The sequence below is a fragment of the Homo sapiens genome, chromosome 10 (assembly GCF_000001405.40).
Source record: "Homo sapiens chromosome 10, GRCh38.p14 Primary Assembly".
NCBI lineage: Eukaryota > Metazoa > Chordata > Mammalia > Primates > Hominidae > Homo > Homo sapiens.
The window spans coordinates 101,171,128-101,197,366 of NC_000010.11; the positions used below are offsets into that span (position 1 = coordinate 101,171,128).

The 26,239-nt window shown below is 46.2% G+C and overlaps 1 long non-coding RNA gene and 1 pseudogene across 1 annotated transcript, besides 2 other annotated features; one reads left to right on the plus strand and one right to left on the minus strand.

The window, feature by feature from the left end:
• Positions 1 to 5,194: 5,194 nt before the first annotated feature.
• On the plus strand, positions 5,195 to 23,020 carry LINC01514 (long intergenic non-protein coding RNA 1514). Its single transcript, NR_120620.1, has 6 exons — positions 5,195 to 5,570; positions 5,862 to 5,975; positions 10,563 to 10,618; positions 19,944 to 20,085; positions 20,183 to 20,383; positions 22,571 to 23,020. It is a non-coding gene; the product is annotated as a long intergenic non-protein coding RNA 1514 (long non-coding RNA).
• SMARCE1P7 (SMARCE1 pseudogene 7) lies at positions 10,076 to 10,867 on the minus strand (annotated as a pseudogene).
• Positions 11,657 to 12,278: an enhancer, noted in NCBI's record as "OCT4-NANOG-H3K4me1 hESC enhancer chr10:102942541-102943162 (GRCh37/hg19 assembly coordinates)". NCBI's record gives its function as "activates a minimal SCP1, AML or CMV promoter by ChIP-STARR-seq in naive H9 embryonic stem cells {active_cell/tissue: H9 hESC(naive)}" and the evidence as "EXISTENCE:reporter gene assay evidence [ECO:0000049][PMID:30033119]".
• Positions 19,182 to 19,788: an enhancer, noted in NCBI's record as "H3K27ac-H3K4me1 hESC enhancer chr10:102950066-102950672 (GRCh37/hg19 assembly coordinates)". NCBI's record gives its function as "activates a minimal SCP1, AML or CMV promoter by ChIP-STARR-seq in primed H9 embryonic stem cells {active_cell/tissue: H9 hESC(primed)}" and the evidence as "EXISTENCE:reporter gene assay evidence [ECO:0000049][PMID:30033119]".
• Positions 23,021 to 26,239: the final 3,219 nt, after the last annotated feature.

Sequence of the window (26,239 nt, forward strand, 5' to 3'; positions counted from 1 at the left end):
AATTTGCTTCTTAGTTTTAATTTTCCCCCAGATATTTATTTTGAAAACCTTCAGAAAAATTGAAAGAATAATACAATAAACACCTGTTTCGCTTCCACCTATATTCAACACTTTAACATTTTGCCACATTCTCCCTCCTGCCTATATACCCACATTCATATATAAAGTAAGTTTAAGCCGTGCACAGTGGCTCATGCCTGTAATCCCAGCACTTTGGGAGGCAGAGGCGGATGGATCACTTCAGCTCAGGAGTTCAAGACCAGCTTTGGCAATACAGCAAAACCCCATCTGTACTGAAAAACAAAACAAAACAAACAAACAAAAAAAAACAAAAATTAGCCGGGCGTGGGGGCACGCGCCTGTAGTCCCAGCTACTTGGAGGGCTGAGGCAGGAGGATTGCTCGAACCTGGGAGGTCGAGGCTGCAGTGAGTCAAGATGGAGCCACTACTCTCCAGCCTGGGCAACAGAGCAAGACCCTGTCTCAAAAATAAATAGTTTATACTCATGACACTTTACCCCTAAATATGTCACTATGCACCTCTTAGAAATAAGGAACTTATACATAGCCACAATGCCATTATTACTTCTAAGAAAATTCACCATAATTCCATAATATTATCTAGTCTGTTTTCTGTTTTCTCTGGTTCTACCAAAAATTCTTTTACAGCTTTTTTTTTTTGAGACAGAGTCTCTGTCTCTAGGCTGGAGTGCAGTGGCTCAATCTCAGCTCACTGCAATCTCTGCCTCCCCGGTTCAAGCAATTCTCCTGCCTCAGCCTCCCAAGTAGCTGAGACTACAGGCTCATACCACCACGCCCAGCTATTTTTTGTATTTTTAGTAGAGATGGGCTTTCACCATATTGGCCAGGATGGTCTCAATCTCTTGACCTCGTGATCCACCCTCCTCGGCCCCCCAAAGTGCTGGGATTACAGGCATGAACCACTATGCCCGGCTCCCCTTTATTTTTTTAAGAGACTCAGTGTCACTCTGTCACCCAGGCTGGAATGCAGAGGTGTAACCATAGCTCACTGCAGCCTTAAACCTCAAACTCCCATCCTCCGGCCCATCTTGATCAAAAAAAAAAAAAAAAAATTCTGAGGCTGGGTGTGGTGGCTCATGCCTATAATCCCAGCATTTTGGGAGGCCAAGGCAGGTGGATCACCTTTTTGAGTCCCCAGTGTCTATTGTTCCATCTTTTTGTCCATATGTATCCAGGGTTTAGCTCCCACTTATAAGTGAGAACATGCAGTATTTGGTTTTCTGTGTCTGCATTAATTCACTTAGGATAATGGCCTCTAGCTGCATCCATCTTGCTGCAAAGAACATCATTTGATTCTTTTATATGATCATGATATATTTTTAAATGCGATATTGGATTTGGTTTGCACTTACATATAGTTTTTGTATCTGTGTTTATAAGTAAAATGAGTCTGTCTTTTCTTTATCTTATACTACCCTTATCAGTTTTAGAATCAAGGTTATACTCGTGTTGTAAAATTAGTTGAGTAATGTTTTTCCTTTTTTGTTGTTGCTGTCACCTCTGTTATTTAGTGTGTATCCACTTACACATGGGTCTTTTTCCAGGCTCTTTATTCTGTCCCACTAGATTATTTACATCTCTAATCTATACCACAGTGTATTAACTGGTTTTACTATTTTTGTAATCTTTACTGTGATTGTACTTGTTTCCCCTACTTTGTTTTTTATTTAGTTTACTTGCTTTTTTCTTAGTTTATTGGCATGTTCTTTTTTCTTGTTCAGTCTTTCAGACATTCCATATCTTGTCAATCTATTCAAAGAAGCAGGTATTAGTTTTATTAACCTTTTACATTTTTTGTTGTAATTTTCAATTTGATTGATTTTCTCTTATCTTTATTATTTTCTTCATTTGTGTATGTTTCTGCTACTTTTTTGGCTTCTTGCATTAAATACTCAGCTCGTTTGTTACTATTCTTTATATTTTCTGATAAATATACTTGAAGCCGAAATTTTCCTCTAAGTCCTGTTTGATTTTGTTTGTTTGTTTTTTGAGACAGCATCTCGCTGTGTCACACAAGCTGGAGTGCAGTGGCGCCATCTCAGTTCACTGAAACCTCTGCCTCCCAGGTTCAAGCGATTCTCCTGCCTCAGCCTCCCAAGGGGCTGGAATTACAGGTGCCCACCACCACATCCAGCTAATTTTTAGTAAAGACAGGGTTTCACCGTATTGGCCAGGCTGGTCTTGAACTCCTGGCCTCAAGTGATCCACCCACCTTGGCCTCGCAAAGTGTTGGGAATACAGGCATGAGCCACCGTGCCCAACCCTTAAAATCTTTTTGATCTGACATGAAAGCTGCAACAATGGCTTTTTTTGGTTAATATTTTGGTTTATCTTTTTTTTTTTTTGTCTATTTGCAACCTTTCTGTATCCCCTTTTAAAATAATACTATATTTTAATTCAATACATTTTTTAATGTAAGAGATTATTTTTTCTTTTTATTTATAAATTTAACCCATTTACACTTATTTCATTTGCTGTTATAGTCAGTCTCCTATCAACCATCTTATTTCCTATTTTCAATATCTAATTTTTCCCTTTATTCTTCTTTCATACTTTTATTGCATAAATAGAATTTTCTTTTGTTGGTTTGAAAATTATACATTTTATTTTTATTCTTCTGGGTGTCACTCCTAGCTTATTATAACCATGTTTATGTATATTTATCCTCATCAATTTTGAGCTTATTTATAGCTATATCTTTCTAACCAAAAAAGCAAGTGCTCACCTCCCACTGGACTTCAGTCCACTCACTTCCACACACACAGTTCTATCATGTTGTTTCATCTAGAATTTCAATGCTAATGATGAATACAGGGTTTTTTTAGACTTACTTATACTACCATATATGTTTCTAAGTACTTTAGTCACCCTTCATTCCCATATCTTGTAGTGTCGTCTGAGATTTAATTCTCTTCTTGCTAATGAACTTCCTCCAAAAGTGTTTTCCTTTCTTATTAGTTTCTCTTTCTTTCTTTTTTTTTTTTTGAGATGGAGTCTCGCTCTGTTACCCAGGCTGGAGTGCATTGGCTTACTGCAGACTCCGCCTCCCAGGTTCAAGTGATTCTTGTGCTTCAGCCTCCTGAGTAGCTGGGATTACAGGTGCACACCACCACACCCGTATTTTTAGTAGAGACAGGGTTTCACTATGTTGGCCAGGCTGCTCTTGAACTCCTGGCCTCAAGAGATCCACCCACTTCAGCCTCCCAAGGTGCTGGGATTATAGGCGTGAGCCACCATGCCCAGCCCGAAAGTGTTTTTCAAAGAGGGTCTTTAGGTAGTAAATCTTCTGAGAACTTGAAAGCTTGAGAACATCTTTCTTTCTAGTTTTGTACCAGAATTATAGTTTAGCTGGATATAAAAATTCTAGTTCTAAAGTTCTTTTTCTTGTATCAGGCATTGCTATTGAAAAAACTAATATCAGTATGATACTTGTTCCTAATGAATGGCATATGGGGATTTCTTTTTATGTTTGTTTTCTTGCTTGTATGTCTTAATTCTTGAGAAGCTTTTGGAATTTTTGTCTCTCTTAAATTTTTCTTTAATGTGTTAAGTATTTTTCCAAATCTATCTTGTTGATATTCTGTCTGAAATCTTACACTTTTCTCTAATTCTGGGAAATTTTAGGATTCTTCGGAATTCTTTTTTTCATTATTTTTTAAAGCATTTCCTTCCAGGTTTCTCATCCCTCTTCTCTTCTGGAACTCCCATTTTAACTATATATCTTCCATATTTAATAACTTTAGCCTTATATCTTTCATCTTCTTATCTCTTCCTGATAATTTCTGGGAGAGTTCGCCATCCTTATCTTCTAGTTTATGAATTCATTCTTAGTCTGAATCTATTTCACTATTCAACTTGTATATTGCCTTCCTTCTTTCAGCTATTATATTTTTTACACTTGTTAACTTTTTTATACAGTCTCATCCTATTTCAAATTTACAATATACTTTAGCCAGGCATGGTGGCACCTGCCTGTAGTCCCAGGTACTTGAGGCTGATGCAAGAGGATCCTTTAAGCCCAGGAGTTTGAGGCTTCAGTGAGCTATGACTGTGCCACTGCATTCCTGCCTGTATGACAGAGAGAAACCCTTTCTGTATAAAAAAAATTAGATAATAATTTTTTTAAAATGTGTAACATTCTCCATTATTTCCTAGAAGAATTTTATTTTGATTATTTTATTTTATTTACTTATTTATTTTTCAGAGATGGGGGCTTGGTCTGTCACTCAGGCTGGATTGCAGTGGTGCAATCTCAGCTTACTGCAGCCTCAACTTCCCAGGCTCAAGTGATCCTCCCACCTCAGCCCCAGGTGGCTAGGACTACAGGGGTGTGCCACCACACCCGGCTAATTTTTTTAAAATTTTTTTGTAGTGACAGGTTTTCACCATGTTGCCCAGGCAGGTCTCAAACTCCTTAGCTCAGGCAATCTGCCCGCCTTGGTAGCCCAAAGTGCTGGGATTACAGGCGTGAGCCACCGTGCTCAGCCTATAAGGATTATTTTAAATTCTTGTTCTCACTGGTCCATTAATTCCGCTTCCTCTCATATAGGTTCTTCATTTTCGGGGTCCTCTTTTAAAAGGATTACATTATTTGGATGTATTATTTTTCTTTCTGAGCTCATATTACTCTGGATGTGTCATTCTCTTGGCTGGTGATAGGTATCTGGGGAGAGAGTTACTATCTGGGTCTAATTCTGCCACACCCTCAACCTCCTCTCCTATCCCTTCCCTCCCAGTTTACTTAAGCAGAAGAGGATGTGCCTTTGGATGAACCTGTTGGGTCTCCAGGTTCTGCTGCTCCTGAAATACCACTTCCCAAGGCTGACTCCTCCCTTATGTAGGCACAAAGTGGAGGAATTAGCAGGAGGAGGGGATGTCAAGTGGTGAACTACAGGGTCTGGGTCCTCGTGGTGGTTTTGTATTGTGTCGCCTTGGTTAAGTTGAGACTACTTTTCCCAGAATACCCTTCCCTGCATGGTTCTGGGTTGGAGTTGGCCTAAGGAAATTTGCTCAAGATTTGGAAGTTAGAAGTAAAGCAAGTCTGAAGGTTTTATGCTTCTGAAGGTTGTCATGGCTACAGGCAGTGAGAGAGCAATGCAAAGGTTCCAGAGTTCCAACTGTTTTGGTTTGTTTGTTTGTTTGTTTTGAGACAGGGTTTTACTCTGTTGCCCAGGCTGGGGTGCAGGGGCATGAACATGGCTCACTGCACCCTTGACCTTCTGGGCTCAAGCGATCCTCTTGCCTCAGGCTTCTGTTTAGCTGGGGCCACAGGCGGGCACCAAAATGCCTGGCTAATTTTTTTGTTTTTATTTTGGTAGAGACGAGGTCTCACTTTGTTGCCCATGCTGTTCTCAAACTTCTCGGCTCAAGTGATCCTCCCACCTCGGCCTCCCAAAGTGCTGTGTTACAGGCATAAGCCACTGCACCTGGTCTCTACTTCGTTCTTACTCTTCTTCCCGACTCTGTGATCAGCTCTTTTTCCTCACTGACATCTCTTATCACCAGCAGAGGCCTACCACTAGACACCAGGTGAGAACTCACAGAAGTAGAATCTATGAAGAAGCAACAATCTTCTGTTGACTTTTTACAGTGGCTCCCTTTCTCTCTTCCACTGCAGGAAGCAAGATAAACTTATCTTCCTCATTTTCCAGCAAGCTCCAGCTTGTCTCCCCTCCACCCCCAACCAGTGCTTTCCAAGGGCCGATAAGTGATTTTCCCACCATCCTACAACTCCCTTTGTGACCTCTACTTCTCCGTCTCCTCCAACAATTGTGTAAAATCTCATTCCTATAATAATCATTCATTCCATGATATTTGCAGTGGTTCTACTTCCCTGGTTGAGCCCTGGTAGATACGGTTCCTGAGAACTTCATGGAGCAGTTTCTGCACCAAACCTGCCCTCTCTACCTCTGGACCTCTACGTGGAAAAGAGAAGTACATCTCTGTCTTGGGTCATCCACTGTTATTTTGGTCTGCCTTCCTGGAGCCAGGCCGCCACTGGTCTTGAACCCCTATCCTCCTCTAGACCATTATGGGAGACAGAAAGAACTTCTACCTTATCTGACACATTGCATTTTTTAGTTTCTAACAGGAACTTGCCTTATAGCTTAAGTAAATCCCACTTCCTCTACCTCACTTTTTACTTGGCTGTATTTTACTCACTCTTCGGTTTTTCCTGACGTCTAGATAAGTCTGATCCTTTTATTGTGCCAGCAGTCTCCCAATACCCTGGGCAGAACACCCATCACTTAGGAAATATTTGCTCCATGACTGTCTCCCCTACTAGACTAGACCCTGACTCTTTTTTCCTTGTTTTTGTTTTTGTTTTTTTGAGATATAGTTTCACTCTGTCACCCAAGCTGGAGTGCAGTGGCACAATCTTGGCTCACTGCAACCTCCACCTCTCAGGTTCAAGCAATTCTTGTGCCTCAGCCTCCTGAGTAGCTGGGATTACAGGCAAGTGCCACCACACCCAGCTATTTTTTGTATTTTTAGTACAGATGGGGTTTTGCTATGTGGGCCAGGCTGGTCTTGAACTCCTGACCTCAGGTGATCCTCCTGCCTCAGCTCCCAAAGTGCTGGGATTACAGGTGTGAACCACTGCGCCCAGCAACCCTGACTCGTTTGTTGTTGTTGTGTTTTGTTTTGTTTTGTTTTGTTTTTGAGACGGAATCTCACTCTTTCTCCCAGGCTTGTGTGCAGTGGCACAATCTTGGCTCACTGCAACCTCTGCCTCCCGGGTTCAAGCGATTCTCCTGCCTCGGCCTCCCGAGTAGCTGGGATTGCAGGTATGTGCTACCACACCCGGCTAATTTTTGTATTTTTAGTAGAGACGGCATTTTACCATGTTGACCAGGCTGGTCTTGAACACCTGACCTCAGTGGATCTGCCCACCTTGGCCTCCCAAAGTGCTGGGATTACAGGCATAAGCCACCGCACCTGGCCCCAACCCTGACTCTTATTCCTGTTCTCCTCCCAGCCCATAACACAGAACTGACACACAGCAATTCATTGAATGAATGAACCTTTTTTAAGGTAGCTACAGAGAAGATAAACCTTTTGGTGGGTTTGGCTGAGATTGGTCTGTACAGCAGCTCTAAATTCCTTGAGCAGGGCCTGGCTTGTCCATGTCTTATGCTCTTTCATTTTAAAGCCTTGAGCTACTTTCTAAACATTGGGTGCCTCATAGCCAGTTACTGCACATTAAGAGGATATGGTATGTGTGCTCCAGACATCAAGGCCACCAGACCCACCCCGCTATGTGTGACATGTGGAACACAGCATTGGGACATACCCAACCTTTGCTATCTTCTCTAAGAACTGCCTACCAAACACCTTTCCTGCCCAGGCTGGAGTGCAGTGGCATGATCTCGGCTCACTGCAACCTCCGCCTTCCGGTTTCAAGTGATTCTCCTGCCTCAGCCTCCTGAGGAGTGGGCCCAGCCTGGGGTCACCGCTATCCTGTGGAATACTTATATGAGTGTTAGGAAAAAGTGTACTTTCTCAGCATACTTTATTGCCATCTGCTAAAGTGGTTTCATTATGAATACAGGTATTTACAGTGTCTCTCATGTGAATGGGACCCTTGGAGTTATCCACTGCACAGCCTGCATAACCAAATGTGGATACTGCCCTGCCAGCCTCCCATTAGCCTTATTAGCGTCATGTGACCTTGCCTTCCTTGGAAGCCAGGCTGATTGGACCAGCAGTGGAGATCCCACTCAAGCTGGCCAATCAGATTGGTTCTCCCAGGAATTTGAAGTTGGGATAAGCAACTCCAGCTTGTCATCATTGCACTGGAAGAAAATGTTGAATAGTGGCTGACATGTTTCAGTTAGGTTTCCTGATTGCAAGCAACAGAAACCAATATTAATGTAAATGGATAACTTAAGCAAAATGGAATGTATTGGAAGTAGTCTCTGAAAGCCAGAGAACCAGGGGGCCAGAAAGGAGGAGGAGCAATGGAACAGACTCACACCAGAATAGTCAGAATAGTCTGGTCAGGCCCCCACTGCTGGGTGAATGACCTCCATCCATTTCTCCCTCTTCTGTGTCTTTCCTGTGGGACTCATAGTCTTGGGCAAGAGCATCTGACCAGTCAAACTTCACTCAGGTGCCCAAACCTGGATATATGGCGATGGTGAGAGGAGTCTGCCTGTATTTTTCTCCCTTCACTCAAAAAACTTTTTTTCCATTTATAAACATATTTAGAACACATAAAACTAGACAACTTTAGCTAGGCATGGTGGCTCATGCCTGTAATCCCAGCACTTTGGGAGGCCAAGGCTGGTGATCACCTGAGGTCAGGAGTTCAAGACCAGCCTGGCCAAAATGGTGAAACCCCGTCTCTACTAAAAATACAAAAATTAGCCAGGCATGGTGGCGCGTGCCTGTAATCCCAGCTACTCAGGATGCTGAGGCAGGAGAATCACTTGAACCTGGGAGGCGGAGGTTGCAGCGAGCCAATGTCATGCTCCCCATGCTGAGATCATGCCACTGCACCCCAGCCTGGGCATTAGAGCAAGATCTTGTCTCTCTTTTTTTTTTTTAGACGGAGTTTCGCTCTTTTGCCCAGGCTGGAGAGCAGTGGCATGATCTTGGCTCACTGCAATCTCCGCCTTCCGGTTTCAAGTGATTCTCCTGCCTCAGCCTCCTGAGGAGGCTGCAAGGCAGTTTGAAAGTTTCTTGCAAAATTAGATGTACTCTTACCACATAATTCAGCAATTGTACTCCTTGGGTTTTTGTTTTGTTTTGTTTTGTTTTGTTTGTAGAGCTCTCAGCCTGCTGAAGATCTAGATGTTTATGATGATGGCTTATTTATTTATTTAACAGGTTTTTTTTTTTTTTTTGAGACGGAGTCTCACTCTGTCACCCGTGCTGGAGTACAGTGGCACAATCTCGGCTCACTGCAACCTCTGCCTCCTGGGTTCAAGCAATTCTCCTGCCTCAGCCTCCCAAGTAGCTGGGATTACAGGCACATGCCATCATATCTGGCTAATTTTTGTCTTTTTAGTAGAGACGGGGTTTTGCCATGTTGGCCAGGCTGGTCTTGAACTCCTGACCTCAGGTGATCCACCCGCCTTGGCCTTCCAAAGTGCTGGGATTACAGGCATGAGCCGCCACACCCGGCCTGTTTAACAGACTTTTAAAGAGTAATTTTAGGTTCTCAGCAAAACTGAGCAGAAAGTACAGAGTTCCCTCACATTCCTGTCCCCTCCAGCATTCCCACTATCAACATTCAGTACCATGGTGGTACATTTGTTACAGTGAATGAATCTACATTAGCACACCATTATCACTGAAAGTCAAGAATTTTCATCAAGGTCACTCTTGGCATTGCACATTCTATGGATTTGGACAAATGTGTAATGAAAGGTATACATCATTATAGTATCATGCGGAGTATTTTCACTGCCTTAAACATCCTCTGTGCTCTATTCATCCCTTCAACCCTCCTAATCCCTGGTGATCCCAGGTGACCACTGATCTTCTTACTGTCTTCGTGGTCTTGCCTTTTCTAAAATGTCATATGGTTGGAATCATATAGGATGCAGTCCTTTTCAGATCACCTTCTCTCATTTAGTGATATGAATATGTTTCCTTCATGTCTTTTCATGTCTTGATAGTGTGTTTCTTTTTACTGCCAAGTAGTAGTCCATTGTCTGGAGGTTTATTTATCTATTCACCTACTGAAAAACATCTTCATTACTTCTAAGTTTTGGCAATTATGAATAAAGCTGTTATAAACATCCATGTGTAGATTTTTTGTATGGACATAAATTTTCAACTCATTCGGGTAAATACCAAGGAGTACAACTGCTGCATTGAATGGTAAGAGTATGTTTAGTTTTGCAAGAAACTGCCAAACTGTCTTTCAAAGTAGCCAAACCATTTTGCATTCCCACTAGCAATGAATGAGAGTTCCTGTTGCTCCGTATCCTCGCCAGCATTTGGTATTATCAAAAGGAGAAGCTTTCTCCTTTCTCCATGTGAGACGGCCTCTGTCAAATTCTTTCCTCTAAAGCAGCTTCTACGGCTAGATGTGGTGGCTCATATCTGTTATCCCAGCGCTTTGGGAGGCCGAGGCGGGTGGATCACTTGAGGCCAGGAGTTCAAGACCAGCCTGGCCAACATGGCAAAACCCCATCTCTACTAAAAATACAAAAGATTAGCTGGGCATGCAGGTGCATGCCTGTAATCCCAGCTACTCAGGAGGCTGAGGCAGGAGAATAGCTTGAAGCCAGGAGGTGGAGGTTGCAGTGAGCCCTAACCCTGCCACTGCACTCCAGCCTGAATGACAGAGTGAGACTGTCTCAAAAAATAAAATAAAATAAAATATCTTCTGCATAAATTTTTTGCATTTATGTAAGCAAAATGTGTGGGGGAATTATGATAGACCTTCATAGAGTCATTGTACTCTATCTTTGTTACCTCATATTCATTTAAATATTCTTGTTTTTCTTCATCAGTGACAACTCCCCACATTCCACCAATAATCTTGCCAATTTCCATCAATTTCAGGTCCGTATTGGAAGCCTTGACTCTGGCCCAGACATTTCTGCTGTACCTCATGTAGGGTAAGAGTGGCTTATCTTTGAGGGTTTTGGAATAGTAATACTAGAGGATGCCATGACCCGGGCTGTTGGTGCAGGGGTTCCCTCCCAGCCTGTAGCTGTAGGTGAGATGCCTGTGTGGAGTGCATCCCACAAACAGTGGTGTGCTGGGCACTTGTGCTGCAGGAGCTGAGGGGGTGGGGGGTAGGGCACAAGATGGTCTTTTTCACATTTTGAAAAATTAAGTTTTCATTTCCTTAAGAACAAATCTGATTAGGGAGGTTGGTGGATCACTTGAGCCCAGGAGTTTGAGACGAGCTTGAGCAACATGGTGAAACTCCATCTCTACAAAAAATACAAAAATTAGCTAAGCATGGTAGTGAGACAGGATTCTTTCCCTTGACCTTGACCCCCTTCATGGGCAGGAACTGGAGTGGCTCCTTTCACTTAGCCTGCAGTCCATGGATGGCTAAGTGTTAACAGCTCAGTGAAGGGTCAGGGTGACAGCCTCCTGCACCTGCCCTTTTTGACAGCCAAGTTCTGGCTCGGTGTCCGGGAAGAATCAGGTCACACGAATTGTTTGAAAGATGATGAATGCAGAAAGCTTTATTGAGCAGTGGAAGTGGCTCCTGATGGAAGGGGAGCTGGAAAAGAAGAAGGTGATCTTTCCCTGAAGCCACACTGTCTGAAGTTAGCTGTGTCTATCTGTAGTCTCCGATGCTCAGTTGCTTGCTCCTCTGCTTGCCACTCAGCCACTTACATCCCCAAGGCTCAGCAGCTTGCATCCCCAACAATATGCATCAGCCACTTGTGTTGCTCTTTTCTTCTGCCAGCTGGTCTGGTTTTTATGGGCACAGGATAGGGGCATGGCAGGCCAAAAAGGCAATCATTTGGATGGAAAAGCGGGGTCAGCTGTTTTCACTTAGGGCCGAGGTTTGAGGCTTGAGGGTGCAGTTTAGGTGGGAGCCCAGCTGTTCTGTATCAGTAGCACACTTGTAGTCCCAGTTATTCAGGAGGCTAAGGTGGGAGGATCACCTGAGCCCAGGAGGTCAAGGCTACAGTGAGCCATGATCACACCTCTGCACTCCAGCCTGGGTGACAGAGCAAGACTCTGTCAAAAAAAGCAAAAAAAGATAAAATCTTAAACACCATGGAAAGGAAGAGCATTCACAGCTCCAGCTTTGTTCCCATCCCTCTGGTTCTGTGGAGGCAGGAAAATGCCTGGATTTACCATCCCACACAGGTCACATCCAGTGTGAGAGGGTCAGGTCTCCCCGCATTAATATATTGTCTTATTTTCTGTGTTCTTGATACTCTGGCATCTGAGGCCTAGCTGAATGGAGATGGAGTGCCCCTACTCAGCCTAGCTGATTCTTAGAGAGAGCCAGGGACTCACCTAGCTGGGGAGTATGCCTTTCATATGCAAATGAACCAATCCAGAGCCCATACTGTTCACCACCTCTTCTGTCTGACTCTTACAATCTATCGGGCAATAATCCTCTCCCTTAGTCATTCCAGGGCCAGGTAGCAGGCAACTGTCAGAGGCATTTGAACCAGAGAAACTCCATCTTGAATGGGGGCTGAGTAAAATAAGGCTGAGGCCTCCTGGACTACATTCTCAGTAGGATTCTTAGTCACAGGATGAGAGAGGAGGTTGGCACAAGACACAGGTCACAAAGACCTTGCTGATAAAACAGCATGTGGTAAAGAAGCCAGCCACATCCCACCAAAACCAAGATGGCCATGAAAGTGACCTCTGGACATCCTCACTGCCCATTATATGCTAATTATAATGCATTAGCTTGCTAAAAGACACTCCCACCAGCACCATGACAATTTACAAATGCCATAGCAACGTCAGGAAGTTCCCCTATATGGTCTAAAAAGGAGAAGAAACCTCAGTTCTGGGAGTTGTCCACCCCTTTCCTGGAAAATTCATGAATAATCCACCCCTTGTTTAGCGTATAATGAAGAAATAACCATAAAAATAGCCAGTGAGCAGCCCATGCTGGTGTTCTGCCTATGCACTGGCTTTCATGCACGTCCGTGTAAAGAGACCACCAAGAGGCTCTGTGTGAGCAACAAGACGGTTTATTTCACTTGGGTGCAAGTGGGCTGAGTCCAAAAAGAGACTCAGCAAAGGGTGGTGGGATTATCATTAGTTCTTATAGGTTTGGGATAGGCAGTGAAGTTAGGAGCAATTTTTTGCAGGCAGGGGTTGGATCTTACAAAGTACATTCTCAAGGGCGGGGAGAATATTACAAAGTACCTTCTTAAGGGTGGGGAGGGTGTATCCTACAAAGTACCTTCACAAGGGCAGGGGAATATCACAAAGTACATTATTGCAAGGGTGGGGAAGGTGTATTGTCACAAAGTTAATTGATCAGTTAGGGTGGGGCAGGAACAAATCACAATGGTGGAATGTCACCAGTTAAGGCAGGAACTGGCTATTTTCACTTATTTTGTGGATCTTCAGTTGCTTCAGGCCATCTGGATGTATATGTGCAGGTCACAGGGGATATGATGGCTTAGCTTGGGCTCAGAGGCCTGACACTCCTATCTTCTTATATTAATATGAAAAACAAAACAAAATAGTGGTGAAGTGTTAGGGCAGCAAAAATTTTGGGGGTGGTATGGAGAGATAATGGGCGATGTTTCTCAGGGCTGCTTTGAGGGGATTAGGGGCAGCGTGGCAACCTACAGTGGGAGAGATTAAACTGAAGAAAGATTTTGGGGATAAGGGGTGATATTGTGTGGTTGTCAGGAGCATTTGTTGTATAGAATGATTGGTGATGGCCTGGGTGCAGTTTTGTATGAATTGAGAAACTAAACAGAAAACACAAGGTCTGAATAAAAGAAGGAGAAAAGTAGGTATTAAAGGTCTAAGAATTGGGAGTACCCAGGACATCCAATTAGAGAGTGTCCAAGAGAGTTTAGCATAATTATTTGCTTGGTTGCTGAGTTTTTGGGCTCTGTCCTTGAGTTTTTTTATGTTGTCATATACCAGGCCAGATTTAGGTAAAAACAACACTCTTCATTTAAAAACATAGAGTCCTCCTTTTTTTTTTTTTTTTTTTTTAGCAGTGAGTAAGTCGAGGCCTTGGTGGTTTTGGAGGAAAGAGAAATGCAAAGCCAGCAACTGTTTGTTAAAGAAGGATTAGAAACGGCTTGCAGAGAGTGAGTGAGGCTGATAGTGTTGTGGAGATAGCTGGGGAGAGGTAGAGAGTGGCATAAGAACAGGAAAGAGAATAAGAGTGAGTATAAAAGTAAAGAATAGTACTTCATCAGGGTGAAAGTATTGGAGGGTGCCCTGCCAGCAAAGATCATCTACCCACTCCAAGAGGGAGTTAAAGTGGCAGTTTGGGGATAGTACCAGAAGATGTCCATTATGATGGTTTGGAGGAAAAATGTAAACCGGCAGTGTAAACAGGGGCAAGGCATTTATGAGTAGTTGAGAATGGTGAATAAGAGTATGACTAGACAGAAGACAGTAGGGATGACAAGTTTTTGGGGCACAGTCCAAGTATTGGGGGTGACTGTGTAAAGCCCTGTTGCAAAAAGTAGGGTAAGGACGAATAGACCTAATAGAATGAAGGGATGTATTAGGCTCGTAAGGGTTATTACTGTTCTTCAGAAATGCGAGTGAGCTTAAGGGAAGTAGGGGAGAGAACTTGTGACTTCCAGGAGGAAGAGGAGAGATCAGGCTGTCTGTCTGATGGACACAGCTTTATTCTGGATCAGTGAACCTAATGGGGAGGGTCCTGCAGGCAGACGGCAGTTGGGGTACTATAGATGACTAAGTAGGGTCCAGTCCATCAAGCTTGTAGAGTTTAAGGGGTCAGATTCTTAACAAGAACTGATCGTCCAGCTAGGGTGTCTTTATATGGCTGGGAATCCGGAGTAGGCAAGAGAAGATTAGCAGCCTGGTGAATTTCCTGTCTAGCCTGCTGAAGGACAGGAAAATAGTCGCCTAGAGGGCTGGTGTCTGGGATGAGGCTGGGGCCGAGCAAGAAGGTGCATCCATATAAAAGTTCAAATGGACTGTACCCTGTAGCATCTGGAGGACAGGCTCTAATTCTGAGAAGGGCAAGAGGTAAAAGTACTGTCCAGTCCTTTTTAAGTTGGAGGCTGAGCTTGGTGAGGTGTGTCTTTAAAAGACCATTAGTCCATTCTACCTTTCCTGAAGATTGAGGATGGTAAAGGGTATTAAGGTTCCACTGAATACCAAGAGCCTGAGAAACTGCTTGGGTGATTTGACTATAAAGGCTGGTCTGTTATCAGACTGTACAGAGGTGGGAAGGCCAAACCAAGGAATTATGTCTGACAGAAGGGAAGAAATGTCGGAGGTGGCCTTCTCAGACCCTGTGAAGTGAAAGTGTCTATCCATCCAATGAAAGCGTCTACTCAGACCAAGAGGTATTTTAGTTTCCTGACTCGAAGCAGGTGAGTAAAGTCAATTTGCCAGTCCTGGGCGGGGGCAAATCCCCGAGCTTGATGTGGAGGGAAGGGAGGGGGCCTGAACAATCCCTGAGGAGTAGTAGAATAGCAGATGGAACACTGAGAAGTGATTTCCTTGAGGATAGATTTCCACGATGGAAAGAAAATGAGAGGTTCTAAGAGATAGGCTAGCGGTTTGTAACCTACATGGAAGAGGCTATGAAATGACGACAGAATAGAATGGGCCTGTGAGGCTGGAAGGAGATATTTTCCTTGGTCCAAGAACCATTTGCCTTGTGTGGGAAGATATTGATAGGTGGAAGTTTCAGTGGGAGAGTAGGTGGGAGTGACCAATGAGAAGGAGAAAAACTGGCCATGAGGGACAGAAGTTGGAACGCCAGCAGCTTCTTTAGCTACCTTGTCAGCATAAGCATTGCCCTGAGAGATGGGATCTGACGCCTTTTGATGACCCTTGGAGTGAATGACTCCAGCTTCCTTTGGAAGTAAAGCGGCCTAGAGAAGAGTTTTTATTAAAGAGGCATTAATGATGGAGAACCCTTGCATAGTGAGGAAACCTCTTTCAACACATATGACAGCATGGTGGTGCAAGATATGGGAGGCATATTTAGAGTCAATATAAATATTGATGCATAGTCCTTTTGCAAGAGTGAAGGCCCAAGTTAAGGAAATGAGTTCAGCTTGCTGAGAGGTAGTGGAGGTGGGCAGAGAAGTAGCCTCAATGAGATATGGAATATACTATAGCATAGCCTGCCTTTGCTGGTGAGTGGCAATCAGGCCTGGTGGAACTGCCATCAATAAACCAAATGTGATTAGGGTGAGGAACAGGAAAGAATGAAATATGCAGAAATGGAGTGAATGTCAGGGGGATCAGAGAGATACAGTCATGGGGGTAAGGTGTGGTATCTGGAATAATGTGGGGGCCAGCCTAAAACAGTAAGGTCAAATTGTTTGGACAGAAAGGCTACAGGGTGTGGTCCTGGCTCTTGTGTAAGAATTCCAACTGCACAGCCCTGCACTTCAGCTGTGTGTAATGAAAAAGGGTTGGGATGAGTTAGGGAGAGCTAGTATGGGAGCAGCTGCTAGGGCTGTTTTTAAGGAATGTAAAGAGGAGTGGGGAAAGAATTTAGGATCTATGGGGTCAACTAGGTTTCCTTTTGTGAGTTTATATAATGGTTTAATCAGATGGCAAAACAAGGTATCCAAAGGCGAAAGTATCCGACCACGACCAGGAAGGAAAGGAGTTGTTGTTTTGTAGAAGGGGTTGGGGTTTGAGAGACCAGCCAGACATGATTGGCAGGGAGAGCATGCGTGTTTTCATGAAGAATTATGCTGAGGTAGGTAATGGATGGGGAAGAAATTTGAGCTTTGGAGGGGGATAACTGATGTCCTTTGGAGAATAAATGTTGAAGGAGCAGGAGGGTATCTTGTTGAGAAGACTCAAAGGAGGGACTACAGAGTAGAAAGTCATCAATGTATTGAATAAGGTGGGAAGCAGAGAGGTGGAAAGAAAGTAAATCATGAGAAAGGGCTTGGCTGAAGTAATGAGGGCTGTCCCAGAAGCCTTGTGGCAGTAAAGCCCAGGTAAGTTGCTGGGACTGATGGGTTTCAGGGTCAGTCCAGGTAAAAGCAAAGAGGGGCTGGGACAAGGGGTGCACGGGAATCATGAAAAAAGTGTCTTTAAGATCAAGAATGGAATAGTGAGTTGTGGAGGGAGGTATTGAGGACAAAAGAGTGTACAGGTTGGGCACCACAGGGTGGATAGGCAAAACAATTTGGTTAATAAGGCACAGATCCTGAACCAACCTGTAAGACTTGTCCGGTTTTTGGACAGGTAAGATGGGGGAATTGTAAGGAGAGTTTGTAGGCTTTAGTAGCCCATGCTGTAGCAGGCGAGTGATAACAGGCTTCAATCCCCTTAAAGCCTGTTGTGGGATGGGATACTGGTGTTGAGCAGGGTAAGGGTGATTAGGTTTTAATGGGATAGTAATGGGCATGTGATCAGTTGCCAGGACGGGAGTAGAGGTGTCCCCATACCTGTGGGTTAAGGTGGCAGGATACAAGAGAAAGACATGAAGGAGGCTTTGGGTTGTGAAGAAGGGCAGCAATGAAATGTGGCTGTAGTCCAGGAATAGTCAGGGAAGCAGATAATTTGGTTAAGATGTCTCGGCCTAATAAGGGAACTGGGCAGGTGGGGATAACTAAAAAGGAGTGTTTAAAAGAATGTTGTCTGGCCGGCTGCTGTGGCTCACGCCTGTAATCCCAACACTTTGGGAGGCCGAGGCAGTTGGATCACGAGGTCAGGAGATGGAGACCATCCTGGCTAACACGGTGAAACCCCGTCTCTACTAAAAATACAAAAAAAAAAAAAAAAATAGGCATGGTGGTGGGCGCCTGTAGTCCCAGCTACTCGGGAGGCTGAGGCAGGAGAATGGCATGAGCCTAGGAGGCGGAGCTTGCAGTGAGCCAAGACCCCGCCACTGCACTCCAACCTGGGCAACAGAGCGAGACTCCGTCTCAAAAAAAAAAAAAAAAAAGAATGTTGTCCAAGTTGGCACTAGAGTTGGAGAGTTTTAAGAGGTTTAGCAGCCTGGCCGTCAATACCCACAGCAGTTATGGAGGCAAGGAAATAGGCCCTTGAAAAGAAGGTAATGTGGAGTGGGTAGCCTCCATATTGATTAAGAAGGGGATGGACTTACCTTCCACTGTAAGAGTTATCCAAAGCGTCTGTGATGGTCCAGGAGGCTCCTGGCCTCATGATCTGCCCACCCCGGCCTCCCAAAGTGCTGGGATTACAGGCATGAGTCACTGTGCCCCGCACAAATTATCTTTTCAACAGCAATCATCTCCTGATCTGTTAGCCTCACTATACCTGAATAAAAACAGAATCCCAGGTACAGTTAACAATAGTCTTCCATCGGAAATTGGGTGCTGTTAGGAAGGGGTATAGATGCTGAGTCACTTCAAAATGACAACTATCTACTGCACAATGCAGACAGAGGCAAATGAAGCCAGTCAGGAGTATGGGGGTAGGGTAGACAGGAGAATGGCAGGCAACTGGGAAAGCTTGAAAGAGAGTTGAGGAGAGCAACTCCAGTTTATCACTGTCAAGCTCCTAGATCTAGGCCCTTAGAAGGTCCACTTCTAACTCTGCAACTTCGAGACTGTGACAAGACCCTGTTTCCTTCCAGGAAGCACCCCGCTTTTTGTTAAGCAAGTCTAAGTTTTTGCTCCTTGCAGCCCATGATTCCTCCTTATAACAGGGAATTTTGCAACCCACATAGATGCACCTCAGACTATACAAACGCCTTTATCCAGCCTATGGCCCAATGGTTATCTGTCCAGGCACCTCCTGCCTTTCCCCTTCCCTCTCCTTCCCCAGCCTGACCGCCTCTGGGCTTAGGATCCCAGGCCAGTGCCTTCCTAGCCCGGATGCTCCCTTCTTTTCTGGTCCAGCTACCTCCCACCTCGCCTTCCTTGACCTCAGGTGGGGTTTCCCTTCTGCAGAGCAGGGATGGAGGCCGGGGTCCTCCCAGCAGAGAAGCCCTGTGTTCCTCCTCTCTTGCCTGAGCAGCCCCACCCCCAAGGCTGGCAGAGGCTGGCCCTGAAGCTCCTGATCGTCTCCCTCCGGTCTGACTGCCTTACCTTTTTAGCCTAAATCCCAGCCCCTCCTTTTAGGAACTGTCATCATGTTTAATCCTGCCTGGGGGAGACCCCCTCCACCTTCCTAAATGGAAGGTATTCCATTACATGCTAAAGTGCAGTTTAAGTAGCTGTAAGGAAGTGTGACAGAAAGTCTGTCAGAGTGGGGCTGGACTTGCCAAAACTTGGTGTGATGTGGGGACTCTGTCAACGTGCTCCTAGGGAAACCTGAGCTGAGCTGAGGCTGGGGCTGGCAGGATGTTCAAGGTAAGAGGCAGGAAGTGGTGTGGGGGAGGGGCAGCCAAAGCGCTGGACCCCCAGGTGGCCTGAGAAGGACTCCCAGTGGGTGGGGGCCGGGGACTTCTTCCTCGTCATTGTGCTGCCAGACAAAGGCAGATGGGTCACCAGGACACCCAGACTGCATTAGGGTGGCCAGGTTGGGCCCAACTCTTGTTGGAACAGGAGTGGGGGTAGAAGGTGGGTAGGGAGGAGGAGGTTGGACAGGATTTCCTCCAAGTGTTTCAGCCTGAGGCCAGAGGCATCCGGACCTGGAGAGGAAAGGCTCTCCCTCCAGAGGAGAGAAGTTGGTGGTTCCTGGAGGAGAAAACTGGCGCCTTGGCAGCTGGAGGGCCCAGGCCTGGACACCAACAATATTGAACAGCATGAACTGTGCCCGAAGACGGCCAATGGAGCAAATACTGGCAATGGCCCAGCCAGAGTCCATAGACCTTTCCTGGCCACTTCTTGGTGCCCCTCTCTCCCACATGCCCTGGTTTAATCTACACATGCCCAATCTTTATTCTTTTTCTTTCTTTTTTTTTTTTTTTTTGAGACGGCGTCTTGCCTTGTCGCCAAGGTTGGAGTGCAGTGGCATGATCTCGGCTCACTGCAACCTCCGCCTCCAGGATTCAAGTGATTCTCTTGCCTCAGCCTCCCGAGTAGCTGGGATTACAGGCATCCGCCACCACACCCAGCTAATTTTTGTATTTTTAATAGAGATTGGGTTTCACCAGGTTGGCCACGCTGGTCTCGAATTCCTGACCTCAGGTGATCCACCCGCCTCGGCCTCCCAAAGTGCTGGGATTACAGGCGTGAGCCACCGCACCCGGTGATGCCCAATCTTTAGATGAAACCTCCTCTCTGTCTGGCCCAGGGCTGGGTGGTCACAGAGTCAAGGCTCAGTCTGCATTATTTCCTTGGCCTCTCCCCCGGCATCTTCTGCACCTCACTCTGCACTCCCCGATCCCTCCAGGTGAGCCCAGGACCTGCCACACTGTGCCAGCCTCGCCCAAGCCACCCCCCAGCCAGGACGCGGTCTTTCCTGACTCAGCAGGCTGAGGCACCTGAGGCTTTCATTTTAATTATGAACCACTTCAAAGCCTTTCTGGAAGCAGGTGAGAGACAAAAGTGTAAACAAGTGAATGAGTGAGTCATCCGGCCCTCCCTGCCTGGATATTCCTGTCATCCATCCTGCCTCTCTCTCACCCACAGTCTCTGCAATAACCAACCTGGGTTCTCTCCTAATGTGGGGATTGTCCTGGAGCCCAGGCCTTCCAAGGCTCCTCCGCCCGCCAACATCACCTACCTCATCTTCCTCTTCAGCACATCCCCAACATTGTCTAAGCGGTAACTCACCTGAGCAAAGCACTTGACACGGATTCATTCATTTACTCCTCACAACAACCTGATGAGGTAGGTACTATTATGTCCATTTTACAGGTGGCAAAAACAAGGCCTAGAGAGGTGAAGTAACTTATCTGTCTAAGGTTACACAGGTTGGTAGTGGGCCCAAGGTTCAAATTCCAGCAGTCAGGCTGGGCGCGGTGGCTCATCCCTGTAATCCTAGCACTTTGGGAAGCTGGGGCGGGTGGATTGCCTGAGGCCAGGATTTCAAGACCAGCCTGACCAATATGGCAAAACCCCATCTCTACTAAAAATGCAAAAATTAGTCAGGCGCGGTGGCAGGTGCTGTGGTCCCAGCTACTTGGGAGGCTGAGACAGAAGAACTGCTTGAACCCAGGAGGCAGAGGTTGCAGTGAGCTGAGATTGTGCCACTGCACTCTACCCTGGACGACAGAGCAAGACTCCATCTCAAAAAAAAAAAAAAATTCCAGCAGTCTGTTTCCAGAATCACTCCCCCGCCCCCACTTCCCCTCCCCTCCCCTTCTCTTCCCATTTCTTTTCTTTTCTTGAGACAGGGTCTTGCTCTGTTGCCCAGGCTGGAGTACAGTGGCCCAATCACAGCTCACTGCAGCCTTGACCTCTTGGGCTCAAGCAAGCCTCCCACCTCAGCCTCCCACCCCAAGTAGCTAGAACAAAAAGCATGCACCACCATGCCCAGCTGATTTTTTAATTTTTTTTTTTTTTGTAGAATGAGGTCTCACCATGTTGCCCAGGCTGGTCCAAACTCCTGGGCTTAAGCAATCCTCCCACCTTGGCTTCCCAAAGTGGTGGGATTACAAGGCAGGAGCCACTGCTTCCAGCCTGGGTCAGTAGTTTTAAAAACATTTGTATTTATTTCTATCATTACAGAGATGGGGTCTCACTATGTTACCCAGGCAGGTCTTAAGCTCCTCGGCTCAAGTGATCCACCTGCTTTGACCTCCCAAAGTACTGGGATTACAGGTGTGAGCCACCACGCCTGGCTGAGAGTCCGTACTTTTTTGTGTGTGTGTGTGACAGAGTCTCACTCTGTCACCCAGGCTGGAGTACAGTGGCGCGATCTTGGCTGACTGAAACCTCCGCCACCCGGGTTCAAGTGATTCTCCTGCCTCAGCCTTCCGAGTAGCTGGGAGTACAGGCGTGTGCAACAATGCCCAACTAATTTTTGTATTTTCAGTAGAGATGGGGTTTCACCATGTTGGCCAGGCTGATCTCAAACTCCTGACCTCAGGTGATCCGCCCGCCTCGGCCTCCCAAAGTGCTGGGATTACAGGCATGAGCCACCATGCCCGGCCTCAATTCCACCTTTCTAACTGGCTCCCAGGTGCTGTTGATACTGCCGGTCCCAGCAAAAGTCCATACTTTCAAGCACTACCTATCACCCTCCCTCTCTCCTCTTTTTCCCTTACAGAATTCTCAACTACACGTACACATACACTCACACACCTGTGCAAACTGCATTCTCAGGATCTCTTCCAAGTGCAGTTGCCCTGTAGCTCTGAGTTCTGGCTCCGCTCCAATTATGCACACTTACTTGCTTGACAAAGCTCAACCCATAACAAGCACATACTCTCCCTATACTCCCTCTTCTCCAAGGTCAGGAGAAGAGAGAGCCTCTCAGCTCTGGGTGTGGGTGTGTGTGTGTGTGTGTGTGTGTGTGTGTGTGTGTGTGTGTGTGTGTGTGTTGGGGGAGAGGGCAGGATAATCGAGGTGACTTCTTGGTGAGACCTCTGCTCTGGATATCAGTTTTTGGAAGATTCATGGCGGGGACTAGAGGGAAGGCTGGAGGATGGGGAGTTGCAAAGCTGACCCTGCAGCCCATTTCTCTCCATCCAACTGTGACCAGAGCCTCAGCCTCACATTTAGGGAGGGGAGCAAGGGGTGGAGTGTGCAGTGGGGGAGATGTTGGTGGGTGAACATCTCATCACATCCCAGGTCCCATAGCTGGAGAGTCATCGCTGCAGCAAGCTCTTGAGTCAGACAAGCCTGAGTCTGAATCTCACTGCTTTGTGGTCTTGGGCTAGTTCTTGACCTTTCTGAGCCTTAATTACTTAAAGTGGAAAGTGAGATAATGGCAGCTAATTCTAGATGTTGAGTCAACTCCATTTTGCAACCACTACAGTAGTGATTGATTCTGAAAAGAATCATCAATGGATGCTAAAACTATTGGGCAAAAATTTGCTGGGGAATGGACAGTCTCAAAGTATTTTTCCACAGAGCACTGATTAACTTCAAAGGGGAAAAACAATAACCTTTACAATGGATAGATCTGGCAGGAACCATGTTAACCAAGTGATCAAAGGTAGCATCACCAATAATGGGGCAAACCGACATCCTGTGCTTCCCCATTGATGCGCCGAGAAGGACACAGCATTGCTCATGCAGCATCCTTGTCAAAAATGCGTAAACGGAATCTAATCATGAGAAAACTGCCAGACAGCCAAACTCTTCAGAAATGTCAATATAATGAAAGGCAACAAAGATTGAGAATAACTTTACCAGGTTAAAGAAAACTAAAAAGATATGACAACTGACTGCAACGCAGAATCCTGGACCAGACCCTGGATCTGGTCAAAAGAAAAATGCTTTAAACGACAGTATTGGGACAAAGGGTAAAATTTGAATGTGGATCATGTAATAGATGAATAATATATTGTATCAATGATATGTCCGTGACTTGGTAATTGTTCTGAGGAAATGTAAGAGAATATATTTATTATTTATTATTTTTTTTTTTGAGACCAAGTCTTGCTCTATCACCCAGGCTGGAATGCAATGGCGCAATCTCAGCTCACTGCAACCTCCACCTCCCAGGTTCAAGCGATTCTCTTGCCTCAGCCTCCTGAGTAGCTGGGATTACAGGCGCTCACCATCACATGCCCAGCTAATTTTTGTATTTTTAGTAGAGATGGGGTTTTACCATGTTGGCCAGGCTGGTCTTGAACTCCTGACCTTAGGTGATCCACTCACCTTGGCCTCCCAAAGTGTTGGGATTACAGGCTTGAGCCACCAAGCCCGGCCTGAGAATGTATTTATTCTTAAGAGATATGGGCCGGCCAGGTGTGGTGGCTTATGCCTTGAAATCCCAACACTTAGGGAGGTTGAGGCGGGAGGAGGTTGAGCCCAGGAAGTCAAGAATCAGGAGTTGGAGACCAGCCTGGACAACAAAGTAAGACCTCGTATCCACAAAATAAAAAATTAAAAAATTAGCTGGGTGTGATAGCATGTGCCTGTGGTCTCAGCTACACAGCAGGCTAAGGCAGGAGGATCGCTTGAGCCCAGCAAGTCAAGGCTGCAGTGAGCCGTGATTGCACCACTGCACTCCAGCCTGGATGACAGAGCAAGACCCTCAAAAACAAACAAACAAACAAACAAAACTTAAATATATGGTAAAAAGTATTCACAGATAAAGGGTTATGATGTCTGAAACTTAAACTTATATTCAAATGATGGCTCATACACAAAAACTAAAATGATTACATCTATGCATGAAATGCATGTGTTTTTATAAAGAAGAGAGAATAAAATGTAGTAAAATATTCATTATCAGTGAAAAGGTATTTGAGAGTTTATTATACTATTCTTTTAGCTTTTCAGTGCGTTAAAATTTTTTCAAAATAAGAAGGTTGTTAAAAGGGAGTTCCTGAATTCACACAAGTGGTACGTCCATCCTGGCACTTACTAGACCTTAACTGAGGCCAGTTCCCACCTCTGCAGGACTGTAGGTCCCGGGAGCAGTACACCCCAGGCTGCCCAGTGAGACAGGGGTCAAGTTCCTTCCCCATCCTAGGCCTCTATTGAAATCTCCAAGCTTCAGCCTCCTTTGTAGCCACTCTCGGGATCTCCCGGCCAGAGCTGAGAGGTGGGGAATAGGAAGGGATGGTGGGGGAAAGGAAAACAGTCCTTCCTCTTTCCTCACTCCCAAGAATGGGATCTTTGAAGAGTCCAGACAGATTTGTCCAATGTATCAGGTGATTTGTGCTGAGGGATTCTGTGGACAGAAGAGGTACTGATTGAGAAGCAGGAATGCCCCGCTTTACTCTCCTGCCTCTTGGCAATGGCTGCGCCTCCGAGCCCAGGAGGGTGTTCTACCCAGAGCCACGGAGGCATCACTCAGCCCTGGGAAAGCAAGCCTGAGTGTCAACATTCTGGCAGAGAGAAGTGCTAGATGCTTATTTGAAGATGTCTGAACAGACTTGTTTGAGAGACAGCTGGAGTTGTGAAGTAATCCTGGCGTCTCCCCATGTCTCGGTTTTGAAGGCAGGCTTTGCCTGCAGGCCTCTGACCTCTAACGTCCTTCTATTCTTGTTAGCAATTGACAAAACTTTGCTTAAGACAGAAGTCAACACAGAGAGGGGCTCATCATTGCTACTAGAAGGGCTAGTAAGACCCTCCCTCCATGGGGCAGAAGCCAGCTCAGTTTGGGATCCTCCAGGCCAAATGCCTGGGCTGGTAATGTCGTAGCGGGTGCACACCATTTCAACTCCATACAGTGACCTCTTCTGGCTCCAGTGGCCCCTGGGAGCCAAGGCCTCCAGCCCCAATGGGCAGTGCCAACCCATGACGGGGGAGTGGCAGGCTCTGGCTCAGAGTCCTGCTTTGGGAATCCTCCCCCAGAGTGGAGCAGGCTCCGGAGCCCATCGGCTGAGGCCAGGCAGAATGAGTCCTAGCAGGACACTAAAGTTCCAGGGAGAACAAGAACATAAAGGAGGCCAAAGGGCTGTCAGCAGAATAATTCAGGTCTGCAAAGCCAGGCCTGGGAGTAAGAGCTGATCAGGACCACAGAAGAGGAGCCTCCAGAGCCATTAACTGCCACCTTCCTCACCTGGCTTCCCTGCTAGTTTCTCTGCCACAGCCCCAGCCCCTGACAGGGGTGTCACACTACAGACCAAGCACAGCGGCCAGGACCCTCCCGACCAGCTCCGTTCTTTGAGAAAGTCCCCCCACCACAACGTGGGCACGGAGGGGCTGCTGATCACCGTATTCTTGCACCCCTGGCTCAGGGAAGATCAGCCCAGGGAGGGGTCCCTGACTCAGACCGGCTGATCAGCTCCTTAACGGGGATTTTACATACAGGCCATAGGAGGCGGAGGGTCTTTCTTGACCCTAAAGTCACTAGTTGAGGTGACAGAATCCTCGAGTTGTCAGTCTTCCCATGTCCCACACGAAGGTCCAACATGAGGAAATGAGGCCGGCACAGCGAAAGGAGCCGAGCCCCAGTGACATGGTTGGTGTTCTGGACCCAGTTGTTCCAGAAGCCCTCCCTGCTCTGTTCGTATCACTTATGGGAGCTAAGCCATTTCTGCCTTTCCCCTTGGGCTACTTTGAGTTAAACTTCTGTCTCTTCTTTAAAGGCCGGGGAGAGGGCACTGATTAATGTGCTGTGTGAGCCTCCTTCTCCTCCAGTCACGGTCGGTGTGAGCAGGAGTGGATACTTGACCCAAAGGGGAACCAAGACATAGGGCAGAATCAACCTCTCTCTCTCGCCCTCTTCCCCTCTTTATTATTATTATTATTATTATTTAGATGGATTCTTGCTCTGTCACTCAGGCTGGAGTGCAGTGGCATGATCTCAGCTCACTGCAACCTCCACCTCCTGGGTTCAAGCGATTTTCTTCCCTCAGCCTCCCGAGTAGCTGGGATTACAGGTGCCTGCCACCACGCCTGGCTAGTTTTTGTATTTTTAGTAGAGATGGGGTTTCACCGTGTTGGACAGGCTGGTCTCGAACTCCTGACCTCAGGTGATCTGCCCATCTCGGCCTCCCAAAGTGCTAGGATTACAGGCATGAGCCACCACGCCCGGCCTCTCCCTCATATTTCAACTGAGAGGGAGGGATTACAGTCTGATGGCTGGAACTGAAGGTTGTATAGATTCAGGACTAGGAC